The following is a 15,092-nucleotide window of genomic DNA, read 5'->3' on the forward strand; positions in this document are numbered from 1 at the left end:
CTTTTAGCATTGCTGTGAAGAATGGAGTAAGATTATGTGAAGCACCTACACAGTATCTGGTTTATGGCCATACCCTCCTCATTTATTACTTTAATGTGTGTGGAATGTTAAATGTTATTAATGTGATTAAATATTAAATATTATTAATGTTATTTAAGTTATTTTATTAGTCAATAAAACAATATTAAGTCACATGGTTGTGATGTACAGTGTATTAAAAGCACTTTATAAACTATAATATGTTGAAGCAACCGTAAGGGATCACCATGAGGTATTATCTAGCATTTAAAGTGGTAGTTATGCTTTCGTTTTGACGTTGAAGTGATCTAAATATTTTCTTTCTATGAAAGTGTATCAGAAGAAGAGGATTAGCTTATTAATTAATAAACCACAGGGCATTTAAAAAATAGAGCAAAGGAGAATGTATTCCACCGGTTTTCTCAGAAAACTCCCAACTTCTGATTATTTGGGGTCAATTTCAGTTTACACCTGGGAAGATTTCACTATCAAAGCTGCTACTTAGGAGTACCTGATGAATAACCAAAGATTTCACAGATTTAAAATCAGCAAACAAAATGCAATCAACAACCTGTAAGATATCCTGATGCATTAGGACTCACAGCAGAGCACTTCCTTCAGAAGACCTCTGGTTTCTGACTCCAGGAATCCTCCTTCTGCTCCACAGCCACTCCAAGGTATTGTGAGAAGTAGGATTGGATACTGGCTTTTCTTTGAGGAACACACTACAAGAAGACAGGCTTGGTCTAGAATTTACCATAATTTTTTACAAGTGCGTAAACAAGTCTGAGAATATTCAACTCGGACTTTTCCTTGTCTATCAATCCTAAAAAAAGAATAATTTACTTTCCAGCCCCATTCCTAATGTCCTCAAGATAAAAGGTAGAAGAAAGTTTATATTCTGGCCCCTTTTGCCAGTGAGTTAAAAGGGAAGGCAGAATTTCTCCCTCAATTTTGCAGACTATCGAATTACCTAAAACTTCCATTCTTAAAACTTTGGGGTGAGGGATCGTCGTACAATGTTCTTTTGCCTGTGTGATTTAGGCATCTTGAAAACCATAGATTTTGTGTGTGTGTGTGAAGGGGAGAAGATGAGATCTTCCCAGATATGTAACATGTTGTTGCCTATAGTTAGACATAAGGTTGCCTCTTTTCTTGCCTGTAGTTAGACCTAAACTTACCTCCTTTTCCTTGCTTAGAGACCTGTAATGCAGAGGTAAGCATAGTTCTACACCCTCACCTTTCTGACACCTGCCTCTCAGAATACCAAGGATTAAAGGAAGCCTGGATGTGCAGCTTAGAATCCAGATCCCAGCAGAGAGAAGTGCGCACATCCTCTCTGCTGTGTGTGTTGGTGTTGGTGGGATTTGCAGCCAGCACCCACCTTCCACTCTCGTTTGTCGGGAGCATAAACAGAAGCCAGGACAGGGACAAGGTGACATTTGATGAAAGTCACACAGCCATCTTGAGCCACACTGGGGTCCAGCCCTGACCTGCCTCCCACATCCCCCTGCTGCCTGTCCCCAGCAGAGAGACAAAAGAGAAAAAAACACATCTCAGGGGATGCACTAGGGCTCTTCCATGCATTGTCTGATTTCTCATTCTCTCTTCAGTTGGGTTGAGAGCCTGCCTCTTCTTCTGTACCTGTTTTGCAAATGACCCTCAGCTCTTATGCCTCAGCATCAGGAGCTGCTTGCAGGAGCACAGGGAATGGAGCCCATCTTTGACTCGAGAGCGGGTTTCTGCCACTGCAAGTTCCAAACAGCATTTAACAGAAATTACCAACGTTTGTCTTGGGCAGGGAGGGTGTTGTGTGAGGGGTTTTTTTTTTTATTTCCATCAGGGATTAGGAAGAGCAATCATCTCCTGCCTCTCATCATTACTTTTCCCTGTATCTTTTGCGTTTTTCTGCAGAACCATTTTGCAGGTACAACAGAGCGATCTTTAGAGATAATCTGGTGATTATTACAAATTCAGCCTTTCATGCTACAGGCATTAAGAGATGAAAATTGCCTCAAGTCCACTGTTGTACACCCAATCTGTACCTCTGGACTTCTGTCCCGAGGTGAAAATGCAAACAGAGCAGATATTTAGAATCATTTTGACAGTTCATAAAATTAAGCAGGGATTAGGGATTTGCCTTTTTAAATAATGCCAGAGGGTGCACACAATGGTAATCATATCATCCTGCAACAGGTCCAGTCAAAGTTGAACGGACTAGCTAGGAAGAGAGAAAAAACTGTCAGGTTATTAAATCTGCCATGTATCAGCTGTTGAAAATCCATTTTTTAAACTTTAAATTAACTGCCTGCCTAATGGAGACACCATCCCCAGCTCCCAACACCAGCCCGTCCTTTGCCGGCATGTGTTTTGTTCAGACAATGCATGATTTAGCTTCGATGTCTATGCACATGACTACATCTAGTCAGAGGGGACGATTGTATAAATATGCATGCAGTACAAATAGTTTAATTTTAATTGGGACGGAGTAGCTGATGTTGAAACCATTTGTGTAATTTTGAATATTAAGTGTGATATCAAGCATGTGACTGGGTCTATTAGATATCAAGAAAAAAAAAAGTACTTGTTTTAATTGCAGTGTGGGGCGGGAGCCTAAGTACTGGACCATGTTCTAGTCCTTCTCCTAAGTGTTATAATTTTGACCAATAGATTCTTTTTTCCAATGCTACTTTCCAATGTTACTTTCTCCCAATGCTATTGGAGGATTTTAGACCAAGGTGGTCTTTAAAGTGCTGTTCTGAAAGACTGGTGATCAAATTCTTCCTTGTGGGGAGAAAGGAGCTCTTGATGCTCACATGCAATGCTGAAGGGAGATCAAGAGCCTGTCAATATCTAAACAAAGGTTAGAATTATGAAAAAGTAAATCAAATGTAATGTAGGAAGGAAAGGCATCACATACATACACACACACACACACACACACACAGAATCACTCCCATACAAACACACACTCCACTCACATATATGATCTAAACTAGCAAAGAGCCTCCTGTATTAACATGCTACCAAAATTTAACTCTTAATTCCACCTCCCTGACCCTACCTCTAAACACATGATTTGCCCTCTAAGAGCCATGGAGGATGATGAACTGGGAAATGATCCCAGGGAGGAGAGCTTGAGCCTCATCCAGGACATCCCCCCACTCCAAAGTGGGGAATCCTCATCATGTCTGTCTGGGTTTCAGAATTGCTAAAGACTGGCGGGCACTGTGTGCTGCTTACTCTTCCCTTCTTAAATAGGAGTCCTCTTGCTTTTGTTCTTCCCTTGTCCCCATAGCACCTTTGTATTTGGGGGTGGTGGTGAGATCACAACTAACTCACATTTTTATTTTATGGGACTTCAGATGGGAGAGGGCAGTCTCCAGACTTTATATAGAGACAAAGATGACATTCTGGATTTTGAGTCCAAGATGGATTGGATAGGACTTTTGTCTTTCTTTAGGAAGGAGTGAGCATCTTGTACATGAGCAAAGGAGGAAGGTGAATACTAGAGACCAAGCGGGCAGATGAGGATAGACAGTACTACTCTGAACACATTTTCTGTCCCTTGCAGAAACACACTACTTCCCGCCACAGTAATGTCAGCCTTGACCTTGTGACTTGCTTTGGCCAGTCGAATATGAGTCGAGGTGGTGGGTGCAGCTTATGGACAGAAGTTGCTAGAATCCCTGTGTAGTTCTGCTCTCCTTCATTTTCCCCTTCTGGGAGACCAGCCTGTCCAGATGAAGAGGACACATCACAGAGCCACAGAATTCCTGTGATTCCTTGATGAACAACAATATATGTTACAAATAACCCTGCCTCTCTGTGAACCACTGTGATTTGGGGATTGTTTGTTATTCTAACATAGACTTATCTGACTGATATAAGTAGTCAATTTCTATGATGACCACCATAAATGTCCCTGTTATCAAACCTTCCCTCTCCATCCAAACGGGGGTTGCTTTCACTCAGGTCACCATCATACCCTCCCTTGAGGTTTGTGAAGGGATTCTGTGAGGTTTTCCTTCCCCTTTTCTTGTTACCCTCTGCTCCATTATCCATACTATAGCCAGAGTAATCTCTGCAAAATACAAAACCCATCCTCTCCCTTTCCCCCTGAAACCCCTTCAAAGTCTCCCTGTTCACTCTGAATAGAACCCAAACTGCTCTCTGTTTCTTCCAAATCCCTTCATTATCCAGGCCCTGCCTCTCGGTCCCTGCCATTGTCTCTCTTCACTCTGTTCCAAGCTCACGTGCGTGCCTCAGTTCTGCTCACCTTTGTATCTTTGCACACATGGCTCCATCTGTACTCCTCATTTTACGTTTGGCTCTTTCTCGTCCATTCGTTGCAACCTCACACTTTTCCTCCTCTACACATCCCTGTCTGACTGTCTCTCCCCATGGTCAAAGCTTACTGCCCTTGCTGTGGTTTTGGGCTCCCTGTGGTTGTCTCTATGCTGCCTTGTTCTAGTTTTTTGTGTTTTCTCAGGGCCACAGAACCCAGAACATAGAAGATACTCAGTGAGGTGGATGGATGGAGGAAGTATTGGGATGAGCAAAGCACCTACCATCTTTTCTAACATTTACAGAGATCCTGACCCCCAGGCAATGCTAATGCCAGAGGGATGTGAAAGCAAGTGACAATCCAAATCAGAGGGTTGAAGAGAAAATCTCTGGTCTGTCTGTCCTTGGATTCACTCTCTCCCTGTAGTCTCATCTAGAGATGCAGGGAGTAGCCTGAAAGGAGTGATTCCCTTCCTGTTTCCCTCTTTCTCCCCTTCTCTCCTGTAGCAGCCTCTTGCCTTTTACCTAGTGCATGTCCTTCAAAGAGGGGTAAGAAAGGAGAAGAGTCTAGGAGTGATAGACAAGATAAAAGCTTTAAAAAGTGGCCTCTGGGAACTCAGTGCTCTGGAACCATGTGGTCTGGGGAAGAGAACTCAGTTGGGTGACTTAACATGTCTTCAATTATGCATAAGGGCATGTGGATGCTAATCAGCAGGCGGCTGTCCTTGCTTCACAGCAAAGCCAGGGCGTGGGAGGAAACACTGACTGTGCCATGTGTGAGGGCTGCAGCTGACCCGATCGACTGGTTGACTGGTCAAGTGACATTCATTGAGGTTCCTAAGAGATGACCCCTGGACATGCCACCAAGATGTCTGGTCAGTGCCTGGGAGCAAAGGGAGTAGGCAGAGGGGATTCTTCCAAACACTATTGAAAAGACACAGAGGATTTGCAGATACAGCCATTGTTGTTTATGATTAAATATGATTATCCCAAGTTCTCCCTTGCTTGCCTTTGAGCTCAGGTCCTGCCTTGCCTGCCCTCTGGGGAAGCTGCTCCCCTTCTCTGGGTCTCTGTCTTCTCAATTACAACACGGGCATGTGAATAATAAAGAGTTAACACATTCACTGAACACTTTGTGTGTGCCGGGCACCTTTCTCAATGAACCCTCACTGCACCTCTGTGAAGAAGACATATTGTTATTTTCCTTTTATAGATGCAGAAACTGAGAGAGGTTAAGTCATTTTTCCGTGGTCGCCTGCCTAGAAAGTGCTAGTGCCAAGGCTAAAAACCAGGAATCCCATTGTCAGAGCCCATGCCCTGAGCCATTGCCTCTTAACTGCTTCTCTAATTTTTTTTTTTTTTTTTTTTGGCTAATCAGTCCATATACACGATACACTCCCTTGGTCAGCACTATTTTTCCTATTTTTGTTTGTCTTTAGCATGTCTGAACTCTGCTATATAATGCACCAGTTTGTTCTGTTACTGCTTTTTATGTCTCAGTTCACTAGGGCAGAGACCTTTATCTATTGTGTTCATTAATGTACTCTGAATACCTAAAAAGAGGTTGAGGCATAGCAGGTGCTCAATCAAATTTGAATAAATGAAGGAATGATGGTGAATTGGAACCATGATCCAAGGTAAGGCATTCCATACAATATCCGGGAATCCCATTAGAGTCTGAGAATGTCAGCCACGCTGATAAAGCCAGAGATCCCACCAACGGTCACAGGCTTATCTTCCTTCTGCCTTAAGTTTGGTCACTCTTCTTCAGCAATTCACTCCTAGAGACTGAATATGACAACGATTGAGGGTAAACCACCAACAAAACAATGTGCCCTTCTCCTTGAAGATATTCCCCAGGTTCACTTTGGCAGGGGAGTTGGGAAGGGACCTCAACTCTGGACTTGCACAGAGTTACATGAGTCTCTGGACTCATGTACTTGCCTAGAGACTCCAGCTGTGCCTGACCTCATGGACTCTCTCAGAAAGCACTAGACAGGGGACACATCTCCACATTGAGAAAACCAGACCCTCCCAGGCTTCCTTTGGCCCACATGTGATACCCAGCATCACCATCTAGGAGGTACGCAGGGACCATTCTTTTGCTTGAGAACAGAGGACAAAATGTTCCACAGTGTTTGATGGGAACAGAGCGAGGAGGCGAGTGTAAATTTCAGTATGAATTGATAACACTTAGTCAGCCGGCTTCTAAAGCAAAGGGTATGAGAGCCTAGTAAGTGTCTTGGCCCGATTCACACAGGGGTCAGATGGGCTGCTCCTGGAGGAGAGGATGGGCTCTGAGCATCTCTCAGGGCATGTACCCAGCAGTAGTTCTGATCATTTCCAGGGCACTGACTGTGACCGGCCACCACGCTTTTGTAAAGGCAGGCCCCCGGGGTGGTGGGCTGTTGGTGGAAGTCAGTCTAAGTTGAAGTTTGGAGAAGAAGTGATCTAGGACATCTGATCTGCTTTACACATTAAAATAAAGGTCACAAACCTCAATGCCAATAGCATTCAGTTCACATTAGAAAGAGCAAACTGGCTGGGTGGAGACTAGGGGAATATATAGAGCACATGTTCTGTCTAAATGGGGCAGCAGAAGCTCGATTCCATCCAGTCTTTGCCACAAGAAGTAGGCAAAACTCCAGTTTTTTAAAAAATATTATTATAATTATTATTTTATGAGAAAGTTCCCTATCTACATGTTGGTAATAAGTGAGATTTTAACTCAAAGGAAAGTAAAGTCAGGAGGGAAAAAGTGATGTTCTATTGGGTACCAGCTAAGCTGTGCTGGAACCTCATGTTCATTATCGTCTTTTCCCTACCATTTTTGGAGGAGTACATTCCTGTCCTCATTTCACAGTTGACAAAGCTTTGACAGAGGTTGGAGAAATTATTTGTCCAAGGTTCCATGGCCATTTAAGTGACTGAGAACAGCGAATGCACAGATCTTTTGACTACAAAGTCACACTCTCCAACTGGCAATCGACCATTTTCTAATAGTGAGAGTTGCCCCACAATGGACTCATCCTCATTAAGTAATGAGTTTCCAGTCACTCTGAGCAGCCAAGCAGAATCTGCATAGCTTCCTTCTAAGAATGCTATAAGAGGCTTTATGCTATAAGAATGATTTAATGATGAAATAAGATGAGATTATATGTATGATTCCTTTACAGTACCACTAACCCATGTTTTCTTTGAAACTCTGTAGCTTTTGGTATGGAATCCTTGCTCCATAGATTCACTCTGAGCAGAATTTAATATGAAAAGTCTACCTTGAACATGGAAATTTTATATCCAGGGACATGATGGAAGTTTTGGTGCAAAAGTAGTATATTAACTCCTGATGATTTGTTGTTTAAATGTAGACTTTCTTGCTACTCTAAATCCTTTGAAGTATGAGACTGTGAATGCATAGATATTTCACCTTACAGTTTTGCAGTCTTGTAAATCCCTGTCAGTGGCAGCAATTAAACCTACAAGTAGATGACAGCCTCTTAGAAGGAAACCAACAATACATGTATACTGTATTTTATATTGAAATCACTATAATTATTATTTCTAGAAAATAATGTGTCTGAATAGGGTTGACTAGAAAATGAATCATAAAACACGATAATAATATTAAATAGACCACATTAAATTATTTCTGGAACGAGATGGTAGATAGATAACTAGCTTCCTACCTAGACAGATAGAAATAGCTACCATAAAAAGTAAATATATACAGCAATTTTTATTATGCATTGCATTTTTTTTATACTCACCAGTTCATTTAATCAAAGCAACAAATCTGGGATTTGTTTTTGCCTAATTTACAGAGCATGGTATTGTGTTAAAGATTTTAACACCAGGATCTAAGTTAGTCCCCTAAACAATTACGTGAGATCAGTATTATTATCATTATTACTATCATTATTGTTATTACCTTTTAAGGCAATCTAGAGCCTCAAAGAAGATACAATGCTATAATTAAAGACAGTAGTCTGGTCGGTGGTTGAACCATGCCTAGAAGTAGAATCTTATAGCATGTCTAACCTCTCTTCTTTTGATAACATTGCACTACACCGAAAAAAGATAAATATTTTCTATTATTTGTTAGTGGTTATATATTGATTTTTAAGGTTAAACAAGTATATAGAATAATAACCAGGCATAAGGTGATGCCAAGACCAGGATGATGAGAATGAAGAAAATCTATATGACTGATTTTCTTGGGCAATGTATAAAACCAAACATCTCAGATATTTAAAACTAATTAAGCTTCTGCTAAAACTTCCAATAGGTAATTTTTATTGACTTTAAGATTTACTAATTTTCAGATATTAGGCACTCAGTAATTATTTGTGGAATGAATAAAATAAATGGGAAAAATATTTCTTTATTTGAATATTTAGGAGAATCTCCCAATATTGAATAGTGAGCATTTAATCTACTTCAGAGTTGTAGTATTTTTTGCTGACGGTGTACTCTTCTCTGGAAGTACCACGTAACAGTGAAATTCCAAGTTGCCACGATCTTGGGAGAAGGGGACTTCCTCCAGAAAGCATGGAGCATGGCAGATGGAATGGACTTTAGTGTAAGCCAATTCCAGATCAAAATTCAACCCCACCCTGAGCTGTAGCTAATTCACTTCTCTCTGAGCTTTGCTTCTGTCATCTAGAAAATGGAGCAACAGTATCTTAAAGTGTTCTTATAAGCATCACTTCAGATCTAACATTTAATTAATAATCATCTTTTAAAATTCTGCTTTGTGTCTTTCCATAAATGATTTGCAGTGCCTTACAAAAGTGCACGTAATGCAAAGTGGAAAGTAAGCGTTGATAACAAAGAGATTTTTTTAAATGTTATACATATTGATATACAGATTCTCTCAGTACCTGGCAAAATAAATGTTTTGTCTTCCCTTAACTTGTCAGGTCTTTTGGAGAACTATCATTTAATCCTTAATACAAAAACCATGTTTGGGAAGAGACATGGATGAAGTCAATCATCTTTCTCCCACTCCCCAAACAACTGAAAAAATATAAGCAAAGGAAAAGTGTCATGATTGGATTCTTTTATTTCTCACTAGCTTCCAAGTTCCTGGCCATTTTCAAGGGAGATATGGTACCTTAGCTTAAATTGCTTGTGACTCTTCCCAAATTACTTTCATTTGTTCCAGGTTTTGAAATCCATCCACATCCCCCAGCCCCATCCTTCCCATCCCTGTCCCGTACATTTTTAATAATGCCGCCATGGCCTTCATACTCATCTATGGTGTCATTAAATATCTGCGGAGGTCCCTGTGTCATATGGGGAACAGATTGCCACTCAGTCTTTCCTTTGCTAGGAGTCAAGCAAGGGACAATGAGGCCCACAGCCTCTGTGCTTCTGCAACTCTCTGCTCTGCTCTTTTTCCTGGTGATGAGTAAAGGCTCTGAGAGGACCCCTGCAAGGACAGTATAGCTATCAAGTGTGGGCACTCCAACTTTCCCAACTTACGTGATAATTCCCAATCATGCCTGTGGGATATTGTGGCTTTCTCTGGGAAGTTATCACACACAAAGTGATGTATTCTCTGGAAATATTAGGTTACACATCAACTTGGTCTAAAAAGGACAGATGAGTCACTATTTGAACTTTGGCTAAAATGTGGGAGATTGGGATCTCAGTCGGATCCAAACGACTCTGGAAAAGCTGTGGGAAATGTCAGGGTAGAAAGAACACTTGACAACAAAGCGAGGGTAGGGGAAGGCTCGCTGGCTCAGGAGGAATGCAGAGTGCAGAGGGAAGAGTAAGATGGCGGTCAGCAGCCAGAATCAAGCTCGTCCCCTCCTGACTCTGCAAACCTGGCAGCAGGTGGGATAGACAGGCTCCTGGTTTTACCAACCTTGTGTCTATCTGGAAGGTTGGATGTGAAAACAGGGAAATAAGAAATGGCAGATTAGACTTTGGGAGGCCGAGGCGGGTGAATCACTTAAGATCGGGAGTTGAAGACCAGCTGGCCAACATGGTGAGACCCTGTCTCTACCAAAAATACAAAAATTAACTGGGTGTGCTGGCCCGGGCCTGTAGTCCCAGCTACTCGGAAGGCTGAGGCAGGAGAATCGCTTGAACCTGAGAGGCAGAGGTTGTGGTGAGCCAAGATAGCGCCACTGCACTCCAGCCTGGGTGACAGAGTGACACTCTGTCTCAAAAAAAAAAAAAAAAAAAGTCACAAGAGAGATGATGTTTTGATAGGAAGAGAAGAAAGGGATTTCTCACTTCCTGGAGAAGGAAGGGAGGAGCCCAGGACCTCCAAGAGCACTGGGTGGTTTCTTAGGGCTCTGATGTGATTTGAGGCCTCATTTCCTGTGCCACAATCATCAAAGATAGTTAAAAGTGCCAGAGTTGGGAGTTTCAGAGCATGCTCTATTATATGCTGTACCTCTTTTTGGTAGAGTTCATAGTTAAAATTACTTCAAGATCTGCCTTCTCATCTAGAAGTTCTATCTAGAGTTTCTATGCATTTCTCCAGTGTTTATGAAGTAGATACTTCAAAAATATGTATTATGTCGTAAATGGAAATGATTCTAATTCAACTGAGGAGCTAGTATGTGCTCAATTGGACCCCATCAAGAATTGAGCATGTATTAGGTCCTCGATTTTATTGAAAAAGAAGGAGGAATAAAATATTGAAATAAATGGGAAGAAACTTTAGAGATGATCACATCGAACTTTATTGAGAAAATTTGCAAATTTTTGGCAGCACCTTTGCTCAAACTTCACCTAAAGCCCCACTAGTCACCATGCTTATGTGGTTAACATACAAAGTCCTTGAGTCAGAAGGCTACATGTTTTTCTAAAATTTAGTAAGAACAATTTTATCCTTTAAAAATATATTTAGTTTTACTCATTAATTTTATGTCTACTAAATACATCACTAGATAAAAAACTATAACATCGCATAAATAGCATACTACAAAATATAATACAATTGATAAAAACCTATAAAAAAGGAACTACCATGCACAGGCTTCTTTTACTTCATAAATGTTATGAAAATGACTTAAAATGTTTTTGAAAAATTATTGGGAAACATTGGGGTTGGATAATATTTCATAATTTAGCAGTCTTAAATATAAGGAAATACAATTAGCTGAGAAAAATTATATAAGCAGCAATTATAATAATTATTATATTGAATAGTCAAGAGAATAGCACCAAAATATTATTAAGAATGATACTTCTGGAAAGCACTTTTGTATTTACACCTGTGTTTTCACATGCAATGGTCCGGCCATTCCTCAAAATCAACCTTTGCAGTTGGAGTATTTTTGTTCTAATTCTGCCAAAAATGAAATGCAGGCTTAAGTGATTTGCCAAGAGTCTTGCAGCTAAAAGTGGTAACACTATGCCTCTGAGCATGTCTTTTGCTTCGAGGTCTAGATTTTGGTGGTTATTACGGCTGATATTTGTTTTTAAACTGCACAGTGGTTGATTAATACTTGGGAACCAGAAGGAACGTTGAGTTTCTTGGGGAGCTCTATTTATGCCACTATTACTTGGCCGGGAAGTAAATGTTTTCCTAGAAACCCCATTGGCCGGGCTGTGTCACATGGCCACATGCTGCAAAGGAGGCTGGGAAAGTGTGCCTCTGGCAAGGCAAAATTAAATGACCCAACTGGCCTCTTACCAAGCAAGATTCATGCCCTCAGACGGGTGCATTGCAGTCTCAAACAAAATTTGAATCTGTCTGCAAAGAGGTGGCAAAGTGTAGTTAGGGTAGATGACTACCAGTGACTGCCACAGTTGGTCTTTGCTTATGGTCTTTTCAATCCCTTAACTCTAGGTGTTGTGTTTTCCATAAGGTCGATTCCCAATATGTAACAGTTTATAAAGTTTAAAGCACAGGAAAAATTAAATCAAGTGGCCACCATGTCCAAGGGCCCCTCTGGCCTGATAATTAGGTTGATATTTGCAGCAGGCATTCATTGAGCACCATGGTGAGTGTTTTATGTGCAGTTTTCCATTTCTCAATTTCACGCATTAAACATGGTGCAGTTGATCCCTCCCGTTCTCACTGGCTGATGCCTACCCTCATGTGACACTCAGCTCAGATATCCACTCCACCACTGGGCCTTCTTGGATCGTCATTTATGTCTCCCATGCTGTGTTAGATGTTCTTTCTCTGTTCCCCATGTGCCCAAGTTTCTCCCTCTCCTGCTCTCCCTTCCTTCCCTTCTCCCTCCTTCTTTCCCCTTCTCTCTCTTTTTCTTGCTCTTCCATCCTCATTCCTTTATAAATATCAAAATATATATTTTAATATCTGCCTTCATTCTTCCTCTCTAATTGGATAATAGTGGGCTAGAAGAAGGGAACCCAGTTTCCTTTAATTCTGTTTCTCAACCTTTAGGCCCAGTCAAAGCCTAGAGCAGGGACTTGGCACGTGTGTCTCTTGTATGGAAGACAGTGACTTGCCTAATGTCAGGAAGAAATTTGGATCAGAATCTGCATCCTGGATTTTGATCTGTGTGCTTCAGAACATGGCTTCCATTGCTGCTGAGAGAGTCCTAGGCCAGAAGAGGTCACGGAAATTAAAAGCCACACAAGGTGTCAAGACACACACCAGGCCAGCTGAGCCCAGGGCTGGAGGGCTTTCTGAGCACCCCAGCTTGTCTTAACCACAGAGCCACCATCCTTCATGGCCCCCAAATAATGGTGCATGTTAATTAAACCCCACCACTCTCCTCTAGAAGCCTCTGTCACCAGGCTGCTCCTCACAGGGGCTGGGGTGCCTCCTTTCTGTGTCATCTTCTCCCCAGCTTCCCCCGACTGTTGCCGATTTCCCATGCTCCCCTGGCCTGGGATTGAGTGGCAGCTCAGCTTCAGAAAGCAGGTGTTGTGGAAGTGAAGCGAGCATCGCAGACAGCACATTAGGTAGCATCCGTCCCGGGGGACCCCTGAGGCTCCAGCTTTGGCAGCCCCAACTGCTCCTCCGAGGGGTGGGAGGGCCAGGCCTGCCCGGCCCTGACCAGATGTTTGGGAAAAGTGCCAGGCTACAGCAAAGAAAATTGCTGCCAATTTATCTAAGGTGTAATAAGTATTAAGGAAGCCTCTTTCTCATGTTTTTGTTTACAAGAAAGGCTCAAATCTTACAAAGACTCAGGGGCTTCGGAGTGCATCTCCGTAGGTGTCCCTGGGACACTGCACTGAGAGTCTATGGACATGGGTTCTAGTCTCCATTTTGCCACTGACTTCCTTGGGACCTTAGAACAATCTTTTAGCCTTTCTGGGTTTTGTTCCCTCCATTGTAAAATGAAGATGAAAAACTAGAAAATTTCTAAAGACAGTTTCAGCTCTTAAAAAAGTGGGAAGAATAAAACCTGGGACTCTAAAATCTACTCATCCTAAAGATACATCCTTAGACCAGGATGCCTAGATTATTTGAGGTCAAAAGAACTTAAACGTCATAGTTCAATCTCTTAGTTGACAGAGGAGTAAACTGAGACTTGGAGAGGTGGCTGTGCTTGGCAAAGCTCACCGGGTTCATTGGTTGGAGCAGAGCTCCACACGGAGCCAAGGCTCCTGGCTTACAGATCCAGATGAGACCACCCTCAGCCTTCCAGACCATGGCTCCTGGCTAGGGCTGCTGATCTCCCAGGGTGCATTTCACAGCCCAGACCAGCCCACAGAAAGAGGGAGAGAGGGTGATGTGTGAACTGCTTCAGAGCGAAACTTGAAAGGAGATGAGCCGAAACTCGAAACAAGATGAACTGACTGTGTCCTGGCTCAGAGTAAGCCGTGGGTGGGCTGGCCTTAGACCCAGGTCTGGAAGCCCCGGCCAGCGCCTTTGATGGGGCCTAGCAACTGGGCCCAGCTCAGCAGTTTCTGACAGTTTCAGCCTCGAACAAGCAAAACTCAGGCCGGAGTTCATGTGAAGTAGAGAGCTCACATGAACACCCAGCTCAAAGTGAAACGTGGGGCAGTGAGAATTCACACAGCCTGAAACCAAACAGGGAAAAAAGACATTTAATGAGTGCCCTTCAGCTCACCAGCACTGCCTGCCTTCCCTACAATTTACTTCCACCGTTCAGCCTAACTCAATTTCGGGAGTCACAACTACCTCAAAGGCAAGACAGTGCATCCACAGAAGGAATACTGGGGTCCCAGAGATCTGGGCTAGAATCCCGGACCTATGGTTTAGTGCTGTGCATCCTCAGGGTAGTGACTTCACTTCTCTGAGCTATAGTGTATGGATAAGGGAAGGATAATAAGACCTGCTTTACCAAGCTGTTAGCCATAGTATCAGCAGTAGAAAGTGCTGTTGAGCTCTGTGTGCCAATCTGCTCTGTGATTTTTATTTGATATTCCTTTTAACCCTTTTTCCAGCAGTTCCATGCCTGTCCCATTGACATCTTCATTTCTATAAACAGTTCTATTGAGATATAATTTACATACCATAAAATTTACCTGTTTCCAGTGTACCAGCATCATTTTATAAAGGAGAAACTGATGCTCAAAGAGGTTGAGTTTGCCACAGATCACGTGGTACAGGACAGGTATGGGCAATTTTTTTCTGTTAAAGGCCAGATGGTAAATATTTTTGGCTTTGGGGCCTTAAGGTCTCTGTCACAACTACTAATTATTCCTTTGTAGTACCCAACAGCACAGAAAATATGTAAACAAATTGGTGTGGCTATGTGGCAATCTTTTTTTTACAAAAGCAGGTGGCAGAGTTGGACCTGCTGGCCCCTGGTGCGTGATCTTCCACTACTTAAGACTCTATCATGATTGCCCAGGCCATTGAGAATTATATCTGACTT

The 15,092-nt window shown here is 42.2% G+C and overlaps 1 long non-coding RNA gene across 1 annotated transcript in view; it reads left to right on the forward strand.

Annotated features, from left to right (window-relative positions):
• Nucleotides 1-598: 598 nt before the first annotated feature.
• The window catches only part of LOC105370656 (uncharacterized), a 28,806-nt gene continuing 14,312 nt past the window's right edge, over nucleotides 599-15,092 (forward strand). Inside the window, exon 1 of the long non-coding RNA XR_944195.3 lies at nucleotides 599-695. This is a non-coding gene — a long non-coding RNA (uncharacterized LOC105370656). The remainder of the gene's footprint in view (nucleotides 696-15,092) is intronic.

This window comes from Homo sapiens, chromosome 14, assembly GCF_000001405.40.
Source record: "Homo sapiens chromosome 14, GRCh38.p14 Primary Assembly".
NCBI classification, from domain to species: domain Eukaryota; kingdom Metazoa; phylum Chordata; class Mammalia; order Primates; family Hominidae; genus Homo; species Homo sapiens.